The sequence below is a fragment of the Homo sapiens genome, chromosome 10 (genome assembly GCF_000001405.40).
Source record: "Homo sapiens chromosome 10, GRCh38.p14 Primary Assembly".
In the NCBI taxonomy this organism is placed as follows: domain Eukaryota; kingdom Metazoa; phylum Chordata; class Mammalia; order Primates; family Hominidae; genus Homo; species Homo sapiens.
The window spans coordinates 70,642,283-70,666,614 of NC_000010.11; the positions used below are offsets into that span (position 1 = coordinate 70,642,283).

The 24,332-nt window shown below is 46.7% G+C and overlaps 5 annotated features.

Moving 5' to 3' along the window:
* Positions 505-674: an enhancer, noted in NCBI's record as "experimental_17237 CRE fragment used in MPRA reporter constructs". NCBI's record gives its function as "activates a minimal promoter by MPRAs in K562 erythroleukemia cells, with activity observed for the non-introgressed 10:72402628 or rs113570689 variant allele {active_cell/tissue: K562}" and the evidence as "EXISTENCE:reporter gene assay evidence [ECO:0000049][PMID:34662402]".
* Position 590: a transcriptional cis regulatory region, noted in NCBI's record as "Neanderthal adaptively introgressed variant 10:72402628 (GRCh37/hg19 assembly coordinates) or rs113570689 in the experimental_17237 CRE". NCBI's record gives its function as "modulates activity of the experimental_17237 enhancer by MPRAs in K562 erythroleukemia cells {active_cell/tissue: K562}" and the evidence as "EXISTENCE:reporter gene assay evidence [ECO:0000049][PMID:34662402]".
* Positions 6,211-6,505: a silencer, noted in NCBI's record as "tiled region #11165; K562 Repressive DNase unmatched - State 9:DNaseU". NCBI's record gives its function as "weakly represses a minimal TATA promoter and a strong SV40 promoter by Sharpr-MPRA in K562 cells {active_cell/tissue: K562}" and the evidence as "EXISTENCE:reporter gene assay evidence [ECO:0000049][PMID:27701403]".
* Positions 6,211-6,505: an enhancer, noted in NCBI's record as "tiled region #11165; HepG2 Activating DNase matched - State 9:DNaseU". NCBI's record gives its function as "activates a minimal TATA promoter and a strong SV40 promoter by Sharpr-MPRA in HepG2 cells {active_cell/tissue: HepG2}" and the evidence as "EXISTENCE:reporter gene assay evidence [ECO:0000049][PMID:27701403]".
* Positions 18,596-18,665: an enhancer, noted in NCBI's record as "active region_3511". NCBI's record gives its function as "activates an Ori minimal core promoter by ATAC-STARR-seq in GM12878 lymphoblastoid cells {active_cell/tissue: GM12878}" and the evidence as "EXISTENCE:reporter gene assay evidence [ECO:0000049][PMID:35858748]".

Sequence of the window (24,332 nt, forward strand, 5' to 3'; positions counted from 1 at the left end):
CTGATGGTAGTTTGTATTTCTGTGGGATTGGGTGGTGATATCCCCTTTATCATTTTTTATTGCATCTATTTGATTCTTCTCTCTTTTCTTCTTTATTAGTCTTGCTAGTGGTCTATCTATTTTGTTGGTCTTTTAAAAAAACCACCTCCTGGATTCATTGATTTTTTTGAAGGTTTTTTTTGTATGTCTATCTGCTTCAGTTCTGCTCTGATCTTAGTTATTTCTTGCCTTCCACTAGCATTTGAATGTGTTTGCTCTTGTTTCTCTAGTTCTTTTAATTGTGATGTCAGGGTGTCGATTTTAGACCTTTTCTGCTTTCTCTTGTGGGCATTTAGTGCTATAAATTTCCCTCTACACACTGCTTTAAATGTGTCCCAGAGATTCTGGCACATTGTGTCTTTGTTCTCATTGGTTTCAAAGAACATCTTTATTTCTGCCTTCATTTCCTTATTTATGCAGTAGTCATTCAGGAGCAGGTTGTTCAGTTTCCATGTAGTTGTGCGGTTTTGAGTGAGTTTCTTAATTCTGAGTTCTAATTTGATTGCACTGTGGTCTGAGAGACAATTTGTTATGATTTTGTTCTTTTCATTTGCTGAGGAGTGCTTTACTTCCAATCATGTGGTCAATTTGAGAATAAGTGAGATGTGGTGCTGAGAAGAATGTATATTCTGTTGATTTGGGGTGGAGAGTTCTGTAGATGTCTATTAGGTCTGCTTGGTGCAGAGCTGAGTTCAAGTCCTGGATATCCTTGTTAACCTTCTGTCTCGTTGATCTGTCTAATATTGACAATGGGGTGTTAAAGTCTCCCATTATTATTGTGTGGGAGTCTAAGTCTCTTTGTAGGTCTCTAAGGACTTGCTTTATGAATCTGGGTGCTCCTGTATTGGGTGCATATATATTTAGAATAGTTAGCTCTTCTTGTTGAATTGATCTGTTTACCATTGTGTAGTGGCCTTCTTTGTCTCTTTTGATCTTTGTTGGTTTAAAGTCTGTTTTATCAGAGACTGGGATTGCAACCCCTGCTTTTTTTTGCTTTCCATTTGCTTGGTAGATCTTCCTCCATCCCTTTATTTTGAGCCTATATGCGTCTTTGCACATGAGATGGGTCTCCTGAATACAGCACCGATGGGTCTTGACTCTTTATCCAATTTGCCAGTCTGTGTCTTTTAATTGGGGCATTTAGTCCATTTACATTTAAGGTTAATATTGTTATGTTTGAATTTGATCCTGTCATTATGATGCTAGCTGGTTATTTTGCCCATTAATTGATGCCGTTTCTTCATAGCATCAATGGTCTTTACCATTTAGCATGTTTTTGCAGTGGCTGGTACTGGTTGTTCCTTTCCATGTTTAGTGCTTCCTTCAGGAGCTCTTATAAGGCAGGCCTGGTGGTGACGAAATCTCTCAGCATTTGCTTGTCTGTAAAGTATTTTATTTCTCCTTCACTTATGAAGCTTAGTTTGGCTGGATATGAGGTTTTGGGTTGAAAATTCTTTTCTTTAAGAATATTGAATATTGGCCCCCACTGTCTTCTGGCTTGTAGGGTTTCTGCCAAGAGATCCGCTGTTAGTCTGATGGGCTTCCCTTTGTGGGTAACCCGACCTTTCTCTCTGGCTGCCCTTAACATTTTTTCCTTCATTTCAACCTTGGTGAATCTGACAATTATGTGTCTTGGGGTTGCTCTTCTGGAGGAGTACCTTTGTGGTGTTCTCTGTATTTCCTGAATTTGAATATTGGCCTGCCTTGCTAGGTTAGGGAAGTTCTCCTAGATCCTACCCTGAAGAGTGTTTTCTAACTTGGTTCCATTCTCCCCATCACTTTCCAGTACACCAATCAAATATATATTTGGTCTTTTCACATAGTCTCATATTTCTTGGAGGCTTTGTTCATTTCTTTTCACTCTCTTTTCTCTAATCTTGTCTTCTCGCTTTATTTCATTAATTTGATCTTCCATCACTGATATCCTTTCTTCCACTTGATTGAATCAGCTATTGAAGCTTGTGCATGCATCACAAAGTTCTCATGCCATGGTTTTCAGCTCCATCAGGTCATTTAAGCTCCTCTCTATGTTGTTTATTCTAGCTGGCCATTCGTCTAACCTTTTTTCAAGGTTTTTAGCTTCCTTGTGATGGGTTAGAACATGCTCTTTTAGCTCTGAGAAGTTTGTTATTACCAACCTTCTGAAGCCTACTTCTGTCAACTCGTCAAACTTATTCTCCATCCAGCTTTGTTCCCTTGCTGGCGAGGAGCTCCAATCCTTTGGAGGAGAAGAGGTGCTCTGTTTTTTTGGAATTCTCAGCTTTTCTATTCTGGTTTCTCCCCATCTTTGCGGTTTTATCTATGTTTGGTCTTTGATGTTGGTGACCTATAGATGGGGTTTTGGTGTGGATGTCCTTTCTGTTGATGTTGATGCTATTCCTTTCTGTTTGTTAGTTTTCCTTCTAACGTCAGACCCCTCAGTTGCAGGTCTGTTGGAGTTTGCTGGAGGTCCACTCCAGATCCTGTTTGCCTGGATATCACCAGCGGAGGCTGCAGAGCAGCAAAGATTGCTGCCTGATCCTTCCTCTAGAAGCTTCATCCCAGAGGGGCACCTGCCTGTTTGAGGTGTCTGTCAGCCCCTACTGGGAGGTGTTTCCCAGTCAGGCTACACAGGGGTCAGGGACCTGCTTGAGGAGGCAGTCTGTCTGTTCTTGGAGCTCAAACGCCGTGCTGAGAGAACCACTGCTCTCTTCAGAGCTGTCAGACAGGGACGTTTAAGTCTGCAGAAGCTGTCTGCTGCCTTTTGTTCTACTATGCCCTGCCCCCAGAGGTGGAATCCATAGAGACAGTAGGCCTTGCTGAGCTGTGGTGGGCTCCATCCAGTTCGTGCTCTTTGTTTACACTGTGAGCTACTCAAGCCTCAGCAATGGCAGATGCCCCTCCCTTCATCCAGCTGCAGCATCGCAGGTCGATCTCAGACTGCTGTGCTAGCAGTGAGCAAGGCTCCGTGGGCGTGGGACCCACCAAGCCAGGCATGGGAGGGTGTCTCCTGGTGTGCCAGTTGCTAGGACTGTGTATAGCTCAGTATTTGGTCAGAAGTGCACCATTTCTCCAGGTACAGTCTGTCACGGCTTCCCTTGGCTAGGAAAGGGAAATCCCCTGACCCCTTGTGCTTCCCCGGGTGAGGCAACGCCTCGCCCTGCTTCAGCCCACCCTCCATGAGCTGCACCCACTGTCCAACGAGTGCTAGTGAGATGAACCAGGTACCTCAGTTGCAAATGCAGAAATCACCTGTCTTCTGTGTTGATCTTGCTGGAAGCTGCAGACTGGAGGTCTTCCTATTCGGCCATCTTCGAAGTGACCTCCGACCCTTTTATGTTTGAATGCTTTCTGTCAATAAATGAGGGAAATGCCATTTTAAATTTATGAGCAGCTTTTTCTTTTCCTTTTGGTTTGGGGTAGAGTTACAAGGCAATTTATCTTTGGGGTAAATATAGAGCTTTTGTTAAAAAACAAAAACATTAGCCTTTGGAGATGCAGGGGTGCAGGCCAGATCTTTGTGACCCTGGGCTGGAGCCTCCGTTTCCACATCTGAAAACAGGGGCATTAATATCCACCTGCCCAGCAAATCAGAGGGTTACTGTGAATGTGAAATGACCTAGTGGGCTGTAGGCATCATGGCCATCTTCACCTTTTGCTCTTACCCTGGTGGTGAGGGCTCAGTCTGTGGTCACCTGGCCCTCACCCTGCTGTAACTCTGCTTAGGGCTCTGCTTTCAGGCCTTTGTGATGGGAGCGTGTTTGTGCACCCTATAGTCATGAACAGCATCTCCTCTGTCACCTGCATAGCTCTGTACAATTGTCAGGGGGCTTTCATGCTCATCCATGATCTCATTTAGAAAAAAAAAACTGAGCACAGAATCTACCAAAGCCCCCAGATCTGGGTGTCTTATTTTGTAATTTGCTCATTTAAAGCAATAATATCAAATGCAGTCAGATTAACAGCCATTTGTTGAATCCTTACAATGTACCAGGTGCTCTGTTATACACTTTCCATACATTTCACCCTAACCACAGACCAAGAAACTAGGTCTATGATTTCCCTATTTTCCATATGGAGAAACTGAGGCTCAGAGGGTTTAAGAAACATCCCTTAAGTCACAGAGCTGTTAAGTGGCAGAGCCAGGACTCAAACTGACCTCTGTCTGACCCTCATGAGCATAGCTTACTTGCCTAAAACACTTCCAGATCCTATATGTATCAGGGGCAGTGTGTGGAATCCCCCTGCTGAGGGATCTAGTGCCCAGGTAGGGGTGCAAAGCTGCTGAGGTTGGAGAGAAGATGGAAAAAAGAAAGCGGAATTTGTCAACAGGGCACCCCTGGCTGGAGTGGGTACCCTGGACAGGACGTTGGGGGACCTGGTTTGGAATATCAGAGCTTACATTCTCCCACAGCATGACCTTGGCCCATTCAACTCCACTTTCTGCCTTCAGTTTTCCCTCCAGAAACACTGTTAGGATCACAGCGGTCATTATTTGTGGTGCAGCTGCTTCATGATTGCTTAGCACGGCCCATGAATCATTGGATTCATCTTTAGAAAATCCCTCATGGAAGGATGCAAAGGCATAAGAATGATACCATGGACTTTGGGGACTTGGGGGAAAGGGTGGGAGTGGGTGAGGGATAAAAGACTACACATTGGGTACAGTGTACACTGCTCACGTGATGGGTGCGCAAAATCTCAGACATCACTACTGAAGAACTCATTCATGTAACCAAACACCACTTGTTCCCCAAAAACCTATTGAAATAAACAAAGATCCCTCATAAGTGGATATCATTATTCTTTTAATTTTACAGAGAAGGAAACTGAGGCACTTAAAGGTAAAGTAACTTGGATCAACTCACCTGGATGGTTAGTGTTGGCACCAGGGCTTGAACCTGTGCCACCTGATTTCAGAGTTTTGTGGAACTGTGGAATTGGTGGAGCCCTCAGGTTCCCACTGTTATGGGTCAAAGGTATCTGAGTCACCTGGCAGGGAATCCATACAGGTCTGTAGCAACCTCAATTCTTGCCTCCTCCGAAAGAAAGAATTCAACTGACGGGCATAAGGCAGAAGGAGAGACCAATGCACGTTTCAGAGCAGGAGTGGAAGTTTATTTAAAAGCCTTCAGAAAAGGAAAGAAAGGAAAACATGCTTGGAAGAAACCCAAGCAGGCATGTGAAGGTCAAGTGCAGTGTTTAGCCCTGATCCTAGGACTTTCTAGGCTGGCCCCTTTCCCATGATTCTTCCCTTAGGGTGGGCTGCCCACATGCACAGTGCTCTCCTTACACTTGGAGGTGAGCATGTACAGTGTGGTTAGGAAGTTGTATGCACACCCATCTGAAGCTTTCTTCTCTCTTCTGGTGGAGTGCCCCCTGAAGGTAATACTCCACCATTTTGTCTCTTGATGCACATGCCCAGGCTCATTAGTCCAATACCTGAGATTTTGTTGGAAGCCCCTTTTTGCTTCTCCCTGGCACCTGCATTCAATTAACACTTTAATGCAACAGGTGTGGACCATAAGGAAACGGCCACTCCCTGGTGCTGACTGCCAGTTTATCACTTTTAGAGAGACAATGTGACAACAGCCAAACCATCGCTCAATGTAGTAGGTGGAGGAGAGCTCTCTCTTGCCCCATGCGTGTCTGTCTACCTGTAACACCACCAGCTGGAGTTCCCTGGGGCCTTTTCTCCTGCTAGGATCAGGGAAGTAATGAGGGACCCTGGGGCAGAGGAGGAAGCCCTAAGGGTAGGAGTCTCTGTGGATGGTCACCAGGGTAGGGGTCCTCTGTCACCAATGGCCAAGAGAAATGGAGGAGGGGTTGTCAGCTAAGTCAGAGGCTGCCCCTCAATGGCCTCTCCCTTATTAGTTTGATATGGTCCTGGAAACGCCCACCCCTGCCCTGGCTGCCTTCCTTCTCCACAACCCAAGGTACCTGGCTCCCCTACTAACCCTCACCCAGATGGTCTCAGATGCTGCTTCTGGATGCTCTGGTCCCATGCAAGGCCCAGGGAAGAAAAGCCTGTTGCTCACTGCTTGCCCTTGTACTTAAGGAGACGGGAGGCCTCTTCCCTCTCAGCTCACAGGCTCACATTAGCCCCCCACAGTATCTGTTGGGAGACAATTCCCTTGGATCTTTTGTGTCGTGTCACAGCTTTTGTTCCAGACTATCTTTTCAAGGATTTTTGTACAGCAAACAGATTGGACATGGCCTTGGAAGATAAAGATCTTGTCTCCAGGGTAGAGGTCAGATTTGTTTGCTGTCCCCCAGGGTGGGGATGGGGCAGTGTAGGGGAAATGGCTGCACTTTAGTCAGGAGTAGGCTGTGGTGGCCTTCCAGTGCAGCATGACTCAATGGGTTTGGAGTGCAAGCGCACAACTCCACACATTATGTAACCATGCTGCATAAGGTGCATTAGGTGACCACTCATGTGAGCTTGTGCTTGGCTCAGAGCCACTGTTGTCTATAAAAGGTATCATTACCCTGATGACGCTGTATGTACAGCTCTTGCCCAGGCTCATGCCCACAGAGAGAATAAAGCCATGTCAAAATTGCCTACAATTCCTTAAGTGTTTTTCCAGCTACCTGCCACCTGCCCTCTGACTTCCCTCGGACCCAGTTTGGTCTAGAAACTGACAATTGGCACTGTAAGCAGGATCCCAATGTAACTGAGCCTTCTGTCCCCACCAATTCCAGGTTGGCCTTGTGGCCACAACATAGACTGTGGTACTCGGTGGCAGCTGTGCTTCTTAGATGGGCTCTGGTGGAAACCTGGGTGGCAGTAGATGGGTTCCCCTACAAGCATGGAGAAGGTGCTGAAGCAGCTGGAAGCACAGAGCATCAAGAAGGAGCAAACCTTTGCTGGCAGAGTTGGATGGGCATTTTTGACTGTGCAATGGGAAGTACACACCCTGTCTCTGAGGGATGTAGTGCAGGTAAGGGACCTCCAGGCTCAGGTGGGGCACCTGGAGGCCCAGCTACAGAGCTCAGAAAGAGTTAGAGGCTGCTGTGAATGGGGACCTCCAGGTGCAGGTGGGGTGCCTGGAGGCCCAGCTACACTGATCAGAAAAAGAATTAGAGGCTGCAATGAATGCAGGCCTGGGTCCACCATTTCTGTCTGAGGCCCCCACTCGGTCTGCTATTGAGGAGGAGGAACTCCTGTTGTGGGCTTACCCAATGGTCTGTCAGAAGATAGATCATGAACAGCCGATGGGGCCCCAAGGGCGGGCTCAGGGACCCCCCCACCGTAATGCAACACACTTCATATATTCCCTGTACCCCAACTGAGTTGCAGAAATTAGGCAAGCAGTGCCACCAGCATCCAGGGGAACTCCTGACTGCCTGGATGCTTCGTTTGTGGGACAAGGCAGCAGATAGTATCTCTTGTTCTGTCTCTGAGTTGGAAGAGCTGGCCTCCATCATGACTCATCCCTCCATCAGTCAGCAGTTGCAAGTGAGCAGGTGGTGAGCAACAGGGCAAGGTGACCACACCCTGACTGAGTGGCTATGGGCAGCCATATAGACTGTGTGGAACAATGCTGGTGAAATACCTAAAACTGTGAGCAAATGGTAGTCATGTGCCAATTTGGTGCAAGCCATCTTTGAGATGGGTATGCGGCAGGCTATGTTTGACATGAATACTTGGGGGCCAGATGGTGAATGTTTCACCTCCCACATGAGGGATCTCCTTTTGGGTTCTGCATCCCCAAGCTGCTGTTCTCACCCCATACATAGGGCACCACATACATGAAGTGATCACTGCTGTGGCGGCCCGTGGGGAAGCAGAAGGCTGTCAGCAAGACTGAGGGGTCCATGCTGTAAAGAAGGGGAAGGTGCCTTTCCCATAAAGGGCTCACCCATGGGACAAAAGGGGGCCCAATGAGTGACATGCTCATAGATGTGGATACATTTGATTTTGGCCAGGGTTGACTGAGAGAAAATTGATAAGCAGCTCAATGAAGTACCCTTAACTTTGTGGAGACACTTGTGTCTACAGCAGCAATTCCAGAAAATGCTCGAGGGGGAGAAGGACATTACTGCACGACCCAGTCCCAGCTGGGTGCTCCAGATCAAAGACTACTTGCTGCAGCCAGGTGGAAATGTAGAGCCTTTTCTGTTTGATTAGGGAACTGGCTGAGGTGCCCAGCTTGGGGGGACATCGGATGACTGGAGGCCACATGTAAAATTGGCAATCCACTGGTCCCCCACCAATGTACAGTGGGTACTGGCACTGGTAGATACTGGAGCAGACAGTAGCCTTGTTTACGGGAACCTGGGTAAGTTTCTGGACAAAACTGCATACACTGATGATTATGGAGGCTGGTCAGTGAAAGTGAAACTGATATCTCTACACCTTGGCATCGGCCGTTTGGCTCCCCGTTTATATACTGTGTATGTCTCTCCCATGCTAGAATACATTCTGGGGGTGGACATTTTACATGACCTGGCATTACAAACCATGGCTGGGGAATTCAGACTCTGAGTGCATGTGGTGAAGCCGGTGCCATGTGGACATATGCATCAACAGCCTCAGGTCCTGCCACAACCCCGATGGGTTACTTCCACCCATTACTACTGTTTGCTGGGTGGGTAGATGGAGATAACAGAGACAATTAAAAAGCTGGAGCAGGTGCAGATAATGCATGGCAACCACAGCCCCTACAATTATCTGGTGTGGCCAGTTAGAAAGACTGATGGAACTTGGGAGATAACGGTGGACTATTGGGAACTGAATAAAGTAATACCCCCTTTGCATGCATCTGTATCATCATGAATTTGATGGACTGTTTGATGATGGAACTGGGACAGTATCACTATGTAGTGGACTTGGCCTTATGTACCTGCCACTGTTCTCTCCACATTGCCCAGATACCCACATAACCAGGAGGCTCTATGCTCTCGGGTTCTGCAAGTACAGTGAACCCCTTGGTGGTTCTATCCCCTGGCAGTGACTATCCCTCAAGTGGGTATCATAACTGTAGAAGCACAAGTTACTGCTCTTGCAGAGCACACTGCTCAGGCTCTGAATTACATCTGAGTGGCCCTCCTCCTGTTAACGGATGAAGTTGATCAGATCAGAAAGGTATCGTTGCAAAACCAAATGGCCTTAGACATAGTAACTGATGCCCAATGAGTCACCTGTGCTCTTTTAGGAACACAATGTTATACCTTTATTCCTTACAACACTTGGCAGAGCAAAACAGCACCCTTTAAGGGGTCTCACAGGAGATTAAGGCAGTTGAGAGCCTTACTGACAACTCCCAGCAGAGATGGTGGGCATCCTTGGGCTCTGGCCTATGCTGGGCCCTAATAGTCATAAGTAGCATAGCTGGGATCCTAGTAGTGAGCTGTTGCTCTCTGTATTGTTGTTGTGGGTTGTGGATTCAGAAATCTGCCCTATGGGCATGTATCCCCACCTGGAAGATGCCCTTGGTCTAGGAGGTGGAGTGTAAGGGAAATGGCTGTGCTTTAGTCAGGAGTAGGCCGAGGTGGCCTTCTGGCACAGCATGACTCAGTGGGTTTGGAGCGCAGGCGCATAACTATACACATTATGTAACCATGCCATGTGAGGCGCATTAGGGGACCACTCACCTGAGCTTGTGCTTGGCTTGGAGCCACTATTGTCTGTAAAAGGTATAATTACCCTGCTGATGCTGTACATATGGCTCACGCCCAGAGAGAGAATAAAGCCATGTTGAAACTGCCTATGATTCCTTGAGTGTTTTCCCAGCTACCTGCCACCCAGTCACTGACTCCCCTCAGACCTCAGTTTGGGCTAGAACCTAACAGGCATGTTTGGCCGCAGCCCCCTTTTAAGTTTGGAGGTTTCTTCTGCTGTGTCCCTCAGCTGTGACACAAAACTGTGGTAGCATCCACATGGGCCTGCCTCCACATTGGCCCTGTGGGACCGGGAGTGTGAGGGTAACATGAAGATCTTGCTGCCTGCTGTCCCCTGAGCAACAGTGTCCTTAGTCTCTGACCCAGGACTTTTGTGTCTTCTTCCAGGAAACTGGATTAGCTTAAAAGTAGAGCAACATCTCTCACACTTCATAGCTCTTTACAGTTTTGACAACAAGGATGGGTGCTGATGGAGACATGGCTTTCTGGAAGACCCCTTGGATCTGGTAACAAATGCTCTCCCCAAGTGGTGGGTGAGGGTTGTGGAGTAAGGGTCCCCCACTGTTCTTATTAATGAGGCTCTCACTTTACCTCAACAACACTTTTCTTGTTTTTTATTATTATTATTATTATTATTATTATTTTTGCCTCCTGCAGGTAGGAGGAGGAAGGGCCAAGGAGTCCCCAAAGCTGATAGAGAGCTCCAGGTGGGTCCAAACTGAGCCTAGCTGGCCACAGGGCTGCTAAAACCCAAAGCATGGGGGCATTGCCCTCCCAGCAGATGGACTACCTGAACTTCCACTACTGACATTTCTTCAGACTGATAAACCTAATCTGTGTCTTGTGTTTGGCTTTCTGGACATTGACAATGGTGCACCTTTCATTACAAAAGCTACTCACCGGGATTGAATTTCTGACTCTACCTCCCTCCCCACCCACCCCATCTTAGTAAGAATCTTAGGTCATGGGGTGTGGCAGCCTCCAGAGACAGAGATCTCCTCCTCTCAGCTGCTCTCTAGGCACGGGGGCTGGGGTGGTGTGTGCACCTATTTTGAAAATTCAGTGGTCAGTCACTTCCGAGTAGGAGGAAGCTTCGTCTTGGATGGTTGGAGAGGACTCTGGGAAGCACATAGCTCAGGGGCCCTAGTTTCACATCTCATAACGTGCAATCTAGAGTCCTTTTTTAGCTCATTCCGGATTTAGGCCTGCACACTGTACTTTACTTCTCTGGGTGCTTTGCTGTCTCCATGACCTTGTCTTTCAATGGCTCTCTGTAGCCCTCCACCCAAGGCCTCTGCTCTGCTCCACTGGCCTGAGGTAGCCATCTGCTGACTGAGTCAGGGGCCCTGGGAGAATTCCTGACCTGGTTCCCACCCCACAAGCTCCCAGCTTCCCAGTGCTGACTTGGCTAATTGATCTGGAGTCCTTGCCAAAAATCATATCCTGCAGGCCTGTGGAGCCTTAAACGTGGAGCGGCTGTACAGCCCCGCTGGGCTCAGCTGCTCGGAGTTATAAAAAGAACCGCAGTGCATGTGGTGGGCCGGTGACTAACGTGGCCACTTGGGGAGTCGTCATCAGCTGTTGGGTGAGGTGATGTGTATCAGGCCGCACTCAGTTCCCAAGGTTCAACCCTGGAGGCTGATCTCCTTTCTCACCTCCTTAGTCCAGGCTGCAGGAGAGATTTCTGCCTTGAGCGCAGAACTTAATCAGTGGCTCACTGTCTATCCTGAGTTATGGCTGTGGTACAGCCCAGCTCTAGGCACTGTGGCAGGCCCTGCACTATGAGGAACTGTCATGAGGTGAATGATTTGGCGAGAAATGATATGCTGAGAGTTTGCAGACACTAAAGGAGTGTGAGGAATGGGGAGTGGATTTTGGAGTCTGAAGAGCTACCTCCACATCCCAACTCTGCCACTTACTAGCTGTGTGGCTTTGGGCTGGTTATTTAACTTCTCTGGACCTCAGTTTGCCTTGTCTGTGAAATGAAAACAATACCTACCCCATGAGGGTTACATGAAAAAAACACAGTAGAATCCATTTTAATCTGACCTTGAGTCCTAAGAGAAGGAAGGAGGAAAAGTTATCCCTGGCTGGGTGACACTTGGCATATCCAGCTGTCCCGGGTGGAGCTCTTAGCAGAAGCCCCCGTTTTTTTTTTTGAGATGGAGTCTTGCCCTATCACCCAGGCTGGAGTGCAGTGGCATGATCTCAGCTCACTGCAACTCTCGCCTTTTGGGTCCAAGCGATTCGCATGCCTCAGCCTCTCAAGCAACTGGGATTACAGGCATTCACCACCACACCCAGCTAATTTTTGTATTTCTAGTAGAGACGGGGTTCCGCCATGTTGTCCAGGCTGCTCTCAAACTCCTGACCTTAAGTGATCTGCCCACCTCGGTCTCCCAAAGTGCTGGGATTATAGGTGTGAGCCACCATGCCCGGACAAGCACAGCCTTTTAACAGCAGCCTGCAAGACCCACACTTTACTCCACGAACATATCAATATTACTGTTGTTGTGTTGGTAGGAGATGTTGTCTCCCTGGGAACCTTTTTACTTAAGCCTGGACCATAAACCATGGTAGTAATGGTTCTCTTGCTTGTGGTGGCACATCCATACAGGTGTGCAGCAACCTCAGTTCTTGCCTCCTCAGAAGAAAGAATTTGACTGAGGGGCATAAGTCAGAAGGAGAGACCAAGGCAAGTTTTGAAGCAGGAGTGAAAGTTTATTAAAAAGCTTTAGAGGCTGGGCGTGGTGGCTCATGCCTGTAATCCCAGCACTTTGGGAGGCCGAGGCAGGCGGATCACTTGAGGTCAGGAGTTCGAGACCAGCCTGGCCAACATGGTGAAACCCCATCTCTACTAAAAATACAAAAATTAGCTGGGCGTGGTGGCGGGCGCCTGTAATCCCAGCTACTCAGGAGGCTGAGGCAGGAGAATCACTTGAAACTCTGCAGTGGGGTGAGATCGTGCCTCTGCACTCCAGCCTGGGCTTCAGAGCGAGACTCTTTCTAACAACAACAACAACAACAACAACAACAACAACAACAACAAAACCCCCAAAGCTTTAGAGCAGGAATGAAAGCAAGGAAAATACACTTCGAAGAGGCCCAAGCAGGTAACTTGAAGAACAAGTGCAGGACTTGACCTTTTGACTTGGGGTTTTATACGTTGGCATGCTTCTGGGGTCTTGCGTCCCTTCTCACTTGATTCTTTTTTTTTTTTTTTTTTTAGATAGAGTTTTGCTCTTGTTGCCCAGGCTGGAGTGCAATGGTGCAATCTCAGCTCACCACAACCTCCACCTCCCAGGTTCAAGTGATTCTCCTGCCTCAGCCTCCTGAGTAGCTGAGATTACAGGCGTGCTCCATGCCTGGCTAATTTTGTATTTTTAGTAGAGATAGAGTTTCTCCATGTTGGTCAGGCTGGTCTTGAACTCCCGACCTCAGGTGATTTGCCCACTTCGGCCTCCCAAAGTACTAGGATTACAGGCATGAGCCACCATGCCCGGCCTTCTCGCTTGATTCTTCCCTTGGGGTGAGCTGCCCGCGTGCACGGTGGCCTGCTAGCCCTTTGGGGGGTAGCATGTGCAGTGTGTTTACTGGAGTTGTACACATGCTCACCCGAGGAGTTCTTCCCTTTTACTGGTGGAATGCTCCTGGAAGGTCAACTCCGCCATTTCGTGTCTTAATGCACGTGCTTGAGCCCACTCGCCCAGCTCCTGAGATCTTATAGGAAACTGATGATCACCAGTTTTAGGTGTTTTCTATCTACAGGCAGAATGCCTTTTCCTGGTGCTGGTTGAGACCTATTACTATTTTAGAGAGGCAGTGTGACAACTGCCTAACCATCACCTAATGATCGCCTGATTTTCCTGGTGGGGTGTAGGGGCCCTCTTCTGCCCTGTTCATGTCTCACTAGCTACCCACCGTAACACTCCTGAGCACACTATTGGAGCTGGTGGGGTTTTCTTTGCAAATGCCACCATGTCACCCATAGCTTGGCCTGCAGGTCCCTGCACTAGTGCCAATGTAGATATTTTCTTTCCAAATCTAATCCCTAATTTACACACCCTTTGTGATGATGAGTTCAAATTCTTAGAGAAATTATTTAGCCCCCTGGAGAGACTGCTCTCCCAGTGTGGAGGGCTGGGGCTGGGGTCATATGTCAACATTGTTCAATGTGACACATATTTACTGAGCACCTACTCAGTGCCTATCCCTGGTGAGACAAAAGATGAGTGAGGAATGGCACCTGCCCTTGAGAAACATATAAGAAATGCTTCAGCAAGAAGCGTGTGTCTTTCTCTTGACCATAATGGCAATCTCCTAACACTGGAATAGGGTTAAGAAATCATAAAGAGTTCATGCATGTGTTCGTTGATTCATGAAGGCTTTATAGGGCCTCTACTTTGTCCCAGGCTCTATGCTAGACAGTAGGTAAAGCTGAATTGAAGGTTTTATTTTGCAGTTATTAAGCCTGTGAATAATTTCAGCACAGGAAGCCTACTGTGCCTTTCAGCACAGTTGACTTATGTCCAAGGTACAGATGTGGAACAGAAGAGAGAGTACTGAATGATGTTCTGGTGGGAGAGCAGGATGGTTCTGTGTCTGGGAGTGCTTCACGGAGGAAGTGGCTACTGAAAAAGGATTCAAAGGAAGACTCAGCTTGCCAGGCGGATGCATGGGGAAAAGGCATCCTAGGCTGAGGAAACAGCCTGTGCAAAGGCCTGGGGGCTGAGTCATGGACCAGCAGGGCTCAGAGGCTTTGCAGAAGTGATCTCATCCACCCACTCATAGTTCAGATGAGGCTGGGATGCAGAGAGCGGAAGGCACTGCCTAGAGCTACTCAGCCAGTTAACCACAGAGTTTTGATGGGAACCTGGCCTCCTACCTCCCAGCCACAGCTGGTATTTTCTTCTGCTGGGGAAATGCTACACATCATACACAATACCATCTTTACCACTTGATGGATCACAAGCAGGTATACATTTAAGTCATCTGAATTTAGTTCAAAGTTTGCAAATGGAGAGCAGAATTAGAGGGGCTGGCTGTGCTTTCCATGGGTCCAGATATATAGTGGGTGCTCAGTAAGGGTCTGTGCCCTCCTCCATGGCCAGATGTGGTCGGGGGGTGGGGGCGGGAAGTAAAGGCAACTCCCTGTTCTAAAGGAACACATGGATGACAACTTCCAACTTAGGATGACTTGAAGCTGGGCTTGTGAAGGCTCTGAGCAGCTGGGCTTGGAAGGCAATAATTTCTCAGGCAGAGCATGAGTACCTCTGTGTCTCCCAGTTTGAAAGGGAGCAAGTCATCCTGAAAATAAGCAAATGTCACTTCACCTCCGACCTGGCTGCCCTTTCAGTGGGTGCAGCGAATAAGGCCTTCTCGGTCATTCCGGGCTTTCAGTTTATGGGACTAAGAAAAAGGCAGAAATGCCAATAGTATACAATCATATCTATTTTATTATGCTTTGCTTTATTATGCTTGGCAGATACTCCATTTTTAAAAAACAAAGTAAAGGTTTGTGGCAATCCTGCTTTGAGCAAGTCTATTGGTGCCATTTTTCCAACAGCATGTGCTCACTTCATGTCTCTGTGTCACATTTTGGTAATTCTGGCAATATTTCAGACTTTTTCATTATTATTATATCTGTTATGGTAATCTGTAATTATTGATCTTTGATGTTACTATTGTAATTATTTTGGGGTGCCACAAACCGTGCCCCTAAGACAGCAAATTTAATCAATAAATGTTGTGTGTGTTCTGACTGCTCCACCAACTGGCCATTCCTTCATCTCTCCCTCTCTTTTGGCCTCCCTATTCTCCAAGACACAACAATATTGGAATTAGGCCAAGTAATAACCCTACAATGCTGCCTTAAGCGTTCAAGTGAAAGGAAGGGTGGCATATCTTGCTTCAAATAAGAAGCTGGACATGATGAAGCTTAGTGAGGAAGGCATATGGAAAGCAGAAAAAGGCTGAAAATGAGGCCTCTTGTACCAAACAGTTACAAATGCAAAGGAAAAGTTCTTGAAGGAAATTAAAAGTGCTACTTCAGTGAACACAGGAATGATAAGAAAGTGAAGCAGCTTTATTGCTGATATGGAGAAAGTTTGAGTAGTCTGAATAGAAGATCAAACTAACCATAACATTCCCTTAAGGCAAAGCCTAATCCAGAGCATGACCCTAACTCTCTCCAGTTCTATAAAGGCAGAGAGAGGTGAGGAAGCTACAGAAAAGAAGTTGGGGCTGGGTATGGTGGCTCACACCTGTAATCCTAGAACTTTGGGAGGCCGAGGCAGGTGGATCACTTAAGTCCAGGAGTTTTGAGATCAGCCTGGGCAACATGGAGAAAACCTGTTGCTACAAAAAAAAAAAAAAAAAAAATTAACTGGGTGTGGTGGTGCATGCCTGTGGTCTCTGTTACTTGGGAGGCTGAGGTGGGAGAATCTCTTGAGACCGGGAGGTGGAGGTTGCAGTGAGCCATGATTACACCACTCCACTCCAACCTGAGTGACAGAGTGAGACCCTGACACACACACACACACACAAGAAAAAGAAAAAGAAAAAAAAGTTGGAAGCTAGCAGAGGTCAGTTTCTGAGGTTTAAGGAAATAAGCTATCTCTTTGATGTAAAAGTATAAGCAGCAAGTGCTGATGTAGAAGCTGCAGCAAGTTATCCAGAAGATCTAGCTAAGACCATCAATGAAGGTGGCTACACTGAACAACAGATTTTCACTGGAGACAAAGCAGCCTTATATGGGAAAAAGATGCCATCTAGGACTTCCATAGCTAGAGAGGAGAAGTCAATGCCTGGCCTCAAAGCTTGAAAGGACAGGCTGGCTCTCTTGTTAGGGGCTAATGTAGCTGGTGACTTTAAGTTTAAGCCAATGCTCAATGGCCATTCTGAAAATCCTAGGGCCCTTAAGAATTATGATAAATCCACTCTGTCTGTGCTCTAGAAGTGGAACAACAAAGCTTGGATGACAGCATATCTGTTTAGAGCATAGTTTACTGAATGTTTTAAGCCCACTGTTGAGACCTACTGCTGAGAAAAAAAGATTCATTTGAAAATACTACTGTTCACTAACAATGCACCTGGTTACCAAGAGTTGTGATGGAGATGTACAAGGAGATGAATGTTGTTTTCATACCTATTAACACATCATCTGTTCTGCACCCACGGATCAAGTAATTTTGACTTTCAAGTCTTATTACTTAAGAAATACATTTCATAAAGTGATAGCTGCCATAGATAGTGATCCGTCTGACTGACCTGGACAAAGTAAGTTGAAAACCTTCTGGGAAGGATTCACCATTAGAGATGTCATTAAGAACATTCATGACTCATGGAAGGAGATAAAAATGTCAACATTAACAGGATTTTTTTTGGCTGCCCAGTGCATATAAAAGTTATATTTATGCTATTACATGTACAATAGCATTATGTCTAAAAAACAATGTATGGACCTTAATTTAAAAATACTTTACTGCTAAAAAATGCTAATGATCATCTGAGCCTTCAGCAAGTCATAATCTTGCTCAAGTCTGGAAGTCTGGAGTTTGTAAGAAGTTGATTGCAACCCTCATGAATGACTCTGAGGGATTCAACATTTCAGTGGAGGAAGTAACTGCAGATGTGGTAGAAATAAGCAAGAGAACTAGAATTGGAAGAAGAGCCTGAAGATGGGACCGAATTGCTGCCATCTCATGATCAAACTTGAATGGTTGAGGGGTTGCTTCTTTATGGATGAGCAAAGAAAGTGGTTTCTTAAGATGAAACCTACTCCTGGTGAAGATGCTGTGAATATTGTTGAAATTACAACAAAGGATTTAGAATATTCCATAAACTTAGTTGATAAAGCAGTGGCAGGGTTTAAGAGGATTGATTCCAATCCTAAAATAAGTTCTACTATGGGTAAAATGCTATCAAACAGCATTGTGTGCTACAGAGATGTCTTTTGTGAAAGGAAGAGTTAATCGATATGGCCAATTTCATGGTTGTTTTATTTCAAGAAATTGCCACAGCCACCCCAGCCTTCAGCAACCACCACCCTGATCAGTCAGCAGCCATCAACATGGAGGCAAGACCCTCCACAGCAAAAAGATTATGACTTGCTGAAGGCTCAGATGATTGTTAGCATTTTTTAGCAATAAAGTATTTTTAAATTAAGGCATGTACATTGTTTTTTAGATATAATGCTATTGTACACATAATAGCATAAATATACCTTTTATGTGCACTGGGCAGCCAAAAAAATTGTGTGACTCACTTTATTGCAATATTTGCTTTATTGTGGTGGTCCAGAACCAAACCCGCAACATCCCCAAGGCATGCCTGTATGCCTTCACTGCCCTCGGGGTTTTTTTTTTGTCTTTTTTTTTTTTTTTTTTTTGAGACAGAGTCTTGCTCTATCTCCCAGGCTGGGGTGCAGTGGCATGATCTTGGCTCACTGCAACCTACACCTCCCGGGTTCAAGTGATTCTCCTGCCTCAACCTCCCTAGTAGCTGGGAGTATATGTGTGTGCCACCATGCCCCACTAATTTTTTATATTTTTAGTAGAGACGGGGTTTCACCATGTTGGCCAGGCTGATCTCGAACTCCTGACCTCATGATCTGCCCACCTTGGCCTCCCAAAGTGCTGGGGTTACAGGTGTGAGCCACCACGCCCAGCCGCCTTTTCAATCTTAACTAAGCATTTATTATGTACTGTGGCTGTCACTTTTGCAGTTTCAGGTGTGACAGCAAAACTAGCATGAACTTCTTTTTCCTTCTTCACAATTTCACAGAAGATCTTCGTAATCTCATTGTACAATTTTTTTTTCTTTCCTAATTAAGTTGAAAACTTTCACCTTTTCAGTTAAAAGAAGCATGATACAGCTTCTCTTAGGCACAGCTGCATTGTCAGTATCACTACTCTTGCGTCTTGGGGCCACTGCTATGTAAAGTAAGAGTTACTTGAACACAAGCAAGATTGCCTGGCTGATCTGATAACTCAGATGGCTACTGACTGACTAATGGGTGGGTAGTGAAGACAGCATGGGCACGCTGGACAAAGGGATCATTCATATCCCAGGCAGGATGGATTAGGACAGTGCGAGATTTTGTCACACTACGCTGAACAGCATGCAACTGAAAACATGAATTGCTTATTTCTGAAATTTTCTATGTAATATTATTGGACTGTGGTTGACCATGGGTAACTGAAACCTCAGAAAGCAAAACCATGGATAAGTTGGGACTGCTGTATATAGAATAGTCTATGATATGATATATTAAATACACCATAAATAATACATTGTATAATATAATGCTTTATAGTATAAACTATATAAATTAAATATTAAAATAGAAATTACATATTTAAAATATAAATATAAAATATAAAGACATGCATTTAATATATATGAGAAATATTTAAAGAAGGCAGAGCATAGTATGATAAACACCCTCCCACTGCATCTTAACAGTTTACCCTGTTGTCTCTACCCCAGTACACGACTATGGTTGACTGTAACACCTCGATGTGAGTGAGAAATTTGAATGCAGGTTTTACATCTGTAGCTTTTTAAGTCCCAAAGCTGCTCCTCCTCATAGAATCCTCCAGTGGCTACTGAGAGCCCTCCGGATAGGCCAGACTCCCGCACAGGGTCTTTGGAGGCTTGTGAGATTGGATCCCTGCCCACATCTCCCCACCAGCCCCTCACGCTCTGGCTCCTGTTTTGTTCCTTCCACCAGGCAAGTGGCTGTCTCCTCCTGGGACGTTCTGTCCTCCTCTTCCCCTTGCCAACTCCTGATTATCCTTCAGGCTTTGGCTGAAATGGCACTTCCTCCAGGAAGCACTTTATGACAGCTCCAACATGGCTGTGGCTACCGCCCTCCAGCACCGTGCCTGCCCCGGGCCCAGCATGTCAGTCCTCCCTCCCCCAGGGATTGCCTGACCCCTCCTCTGTGACTTTCACTGTTTAGTGAGCTCCGGCACAGGGATTGGCCTGCTAGGCTCACCTCTGCACCCCGTGTGTCCATCATAGAGCTTTTAACAAGTTGGTGGGTACATCACCTCTACTTGTTACATGTTAAACATGAGCTGGAAGGTGGCACAGGGCGTATCCTGGAGGATGAGGGGACCCTGAATGGGTAAAGCCTGCTGAGGAAGGCTTGGCCACCCCTAGCATTGGCTAAGTTGGCCCATTTTGAAAGATTGGAACCATCCTGGTTTCCCAACTAGTAACCATTCACTTCCTTCCCCTCTTTCTGATAGAAACCCGACTTTGCTTATCTTCGTATGAGCAGCCATATGTTTCCAAAGAGGGGGCTCAGCCCTCATCAGGAACTGGCCAAGGCATGGGCTGGTGGGGGGTCTGGACAGTAACACTTGAGGGTGACTCTGCCGCTGGGGGGTCCCTGAAGCCTCACCTTATTCTTCAAAAGGGACACAGGAATGTGGGGAATTCTGTAGGACAAATGTCTTGGTTTTCTTGACTTAAAAAAAAAAAGATGTTGGGGAGGGGAAGAGAGGGAGAGAGAGAAACTGTTTAGATGAGGGGTTAGCAGATTTTTTCTGCCAAATTCCAAGCAGTAAATATTTTAGGCTTTGTGGGCCGTACTGTCTCGGCAGTAACTGCTCAACTCCGCCTCTAGCAGGAATGAACCATGGAACACATAAACAAGCAGAGGCGGCTGCGTTCCCATGAAGCTGATTTACAAAAACACACGGCGGGCTCACTGGGCCCCAGGTGTAGTTTGCCCACTTATGGTATAGATGAAAGGAGACTTCTGAGGTATACTGGCCAGATGAGATGTATGGACTTTGCTTGGATACCCACTTGAACAAATCAAGTCTTTTTTTGAGACAGAGTCTTGCTGTGTCATCGAGACTGGACTGCAGTGGCAGGATCTCCTCTCACTGTAACCTCTGCTTACTGGGTTCAAGTGATTCTCCTGCCTCAGCCTCCTGAGTAGCTTGGATTATAGGCACCCACCAGCACGCCTGGCTAATTTTGTATTTTTAGTAGAGACAGGGTTTCACCATGTTGGCCAGGCTGGTCTTGAACTCCTGATCTCAAGCAATCCACCCGCCTCAGCCTCCCAAAGTATTGGGATTACAGGCATGAGCCACCGCATCTGGCCCAAACCAAGTCTTAAAAACCAAACAAGACAAAAATGTTTGTGACAGTTGGGGAAATTTGAACAATGATCAGATGCAAGATGATTTTAAGGAATTATTGTTAATTTTGCTAGGTGTGACAAAGACATGGTTTTCGTTGTTGTTGATGTTGTTTTGATTTTGTTTTTAAAGAAGAGAGAGTTTTTATCTACTAGCTGCTGATACTAAATGGGAGATAATGTAGGGGGTTTGCTCTAAAATGACCTCGGGTGTGGAGGGAAGGGGTAAGGATGACACGGAGCTGGCCATATGGGCATAATGACTGAAGCTGGGTGATGGAATTGGGGGAAGGGGCCTCTATACTCTTTTGTCTTCCTTTGTTTATGTTTAAAAATCTGTATAATAAAGTCACAGCCAGCCTCGGTGGCTTACTCCTTTAATCCCAGAACTTTGGGAGGCCGAGGTGGGTGGATCACCTGAGGTCAGGAGTTCGAGATCAGCCTGGCCAACATGGTGAAACCCCATCTCTGCAAAAAATACAAAACAACTAGCTGGGCATGGTGGTGAGTGCCTGTAATCCCAGCTACTTAGGAGGCTGAGGGCAGGAGAATGGCTTGAACCCAGGAGGTGGAGGTTGCAGCGAGCTGAAACAACACTATTGCACTCCAGCCTGGGCAACAGAGCAAGACTCTCTCAAAAAAAAAAAAAAAAAAAATGAAAAAAAAGAAAAGAAATAAAGAAAAAGAAAAAGAAAAAGAAAATCTGTATAATAAAGTCTTTAAAAAGGAGAGACAAGAAAGAACTCCCCGCCAGTTGTGGTGGCTCACACCTATAATCCCAGCACTTTGGGAGGCGAAGACAGGCAGATCACCTGAGGTCAGGAGTTCAAGACCAGCCTGACCGACATGGTGAAACCCCGTCTCTACTAAAAAAAAAAAAAAAAAAAAAAAATTAGCTGGGCGTGGTGGTGCATGCCTGTAATCCCAGCTACTCAGGTGGCTGAGGCAGGAGAATCACTTGAACCCGGGAGGTGGAGGTTGCTGTCAGCCAAGATTGCGCCACTGCACTCTCACTGGGTGACAAAGGGAGACTCTGTTTCAAAAAAAAGAAAGAACTCCCTCTTCCACTGCCTCTGGTCCCCATTGCATCAGGTGAATATGTGATGCCTGCAGCTAATGCAGTCATTTTACAGCTAAGAGGGAACAAGCCTGAGGATGAGACTAATCCCCAAGCATGACAGAGTGGAAGAGGAAGGGACTGAGATGCTGGAAGATCCTGTGAGGCTGCCAAATTAACCAGGTCCAGCACTGGCCTGCTTCAGGATTCCTTTTTATATGAGATAATAAATTAAGCCATGTGTTTGGTGACATGTAAGCCAAAGTCCCCTTACTGATCTAAAGAAAGGAACAGTATAGAGGTCTGGCCCCTCTTTGCTGCAGAATGTCACCCATGGTATCTAAGAGGATGTTAGGATTGGAAGAAAAGCTGCTAAGTGGTATCCAAGAGGATGTTAGGATTGGAAGAAAAGCCGGTAAGAAGCGTGCCCTGGACGAATCTCTCTGAGTCCTTCCATTATACCATAGGGGCACGGGGAAATGGGGGAGATCACTGCTTCCTGCCTTACTCTCTGGAACCCCAGGCAGCCAATGCCAGGGGCCGCACTGGACTTCGCTTAGGAGGATGCTATAGGAGACCTGTGGTTTCAGAAGAGGGGATGGCAGAAACAAAACTCCCAAAGGACAGCTGGGCTTTTTGGCATCCTTCCTCACAAAGACAAGGAGACCTCCTCTCCCCGCACTCCCCAACACGCAGTAACCACAGCCACACAATGTCTACACACAGGGCACAAACGGCATTGTTTCTAACTGATCTCATGGTTCAGCCAGTCTCGGGGGCATCAGCTGTTCTGTAATGCATGACAAATCACTGTGGTTAACTTAACCCATCCTTGTCTCCTAGCTACAGTCATTAGACACTTGCCAAAAAATGTGCAGAGGGAATGCTGGGGAAACAAAGGAGAAGGGTCATGTGGAGAAGGCCACGAGGCCCAGCCCCTCTCCCGCACATCTGGAGGCTTCTGGAGCTCTGCCAGACTCCTGGAGTTCAGATGCAGCACCAGCCCAGGCTTTGGAGACAGGGGATAGGAGATGAGAGTGGTGGCCTTGAATTAGGAGCAAGTCACAGATCTTCAGTTAGTGAGTTTGCTCTCAGTCTTCATTTGGCCCCAGTTTTCTTTTTCTTTTTCTTTTTTTTTTTCTTGAGACTCAGTCTCACTCTGTCATCTAGTCAAGTGATCATGGCTCACTGCAGGCTCGACCTCCTTGGGCTCAGGTGATTCTCCCACCTCAGCCTCCCCAAGTAGCTGGGACTACAGGTGCACCACCACGCCTGGCTAATTTTGTATTTTTTGTAGAGACAGGGTTTTGCCATGTTGCTCAGGAAAGTCTTGAACTCCTGGGCTCAAGTGATCCACTGGCCTCAGCTTCCCAAAGGGCTGGGGATTAGAGGTGTGAGCCATTGCTCCCAGCCTGGCCCCAGTTTTCAAGGCTTTGTTTAGAACAGTGATTCTTAAATTTGAGCATGCATCAGAGTCCCCTGGAGGACAGGTTAAAACAGATTGCTGGGCCCCTTCCCCAGAGTTTCTGGTTGAGTAGGCCTGGGGTGAGGCCTGAGAATGTGCCTGTCTAAAAACTTTCAAGTGATGCTGATTCTGCTGCACAGGGGGACGCTGATTTGAGAACCACTGGCTTAGAGCTGCTGTGCATGACGGTGGCTCTCAGGTAGCAGCAGGAAGAGACTCAGACTCTTCTTCCTCTTCCTTCCCTTTGGGCTGAGGTAGGAACTAACGATGAATGACCAAAGGGGGAACCAATATCACCAATACTCTAAGATCACTGTGAACCAGGAACCAGGAGACTTGAGGTGTTATCCTGCCCCTGAATGATCTTTCTGTGTGGTGTTGCAAGGTCAACTCTGCTCTCTGGGTCTCAGTTTGCCCCTCTGTACAATAGGCAGGTGGTGTTTTTCTGCATGTGTTGTCGTTTCCACTAACAAACAGTTTTATAAAATAAGGAGGCTGGGCACGGTGGCTCACGCCTGTAATCCCAGCACTTTGGGAGGCCGAGGCGGGCAGATCACCTGAGGTCAGGAGTTCAAGACCAGCCTGACCAACATGGTGAAACCCCATCTCTACTAAAAATACAAAAATTACAGGCCCATGCCTGTAATCCCAGCTACTTGGGAGGCTGAGGCAGGGGAATCGCTTGAACCCAGGAGACAGAGGTTGCAGTGAGCCAAGATCGAGTCATTGCACTCCAGCCTGGACAACAAGAGTGAAACTCCATCTCAAAATAATAATAATAATAATAATAATAATAATAATAATAATAATAACCAAGGAAAACAAAATGAACTAAGTGATCTCCAAGAAGGTGGAGGTGGGAGAATCTCTTGGCAGCATCACCGTGTGCCTGGAAGCCTGGGAGCTGGAATCTGACTTGGGTTTGAATATGGCTCTGATATTTACCAGCTATGAGTGCTGTGAGCACTGGCAGAGCTGCCCAACCTGGCAGAGTCTTAGACTCCTCT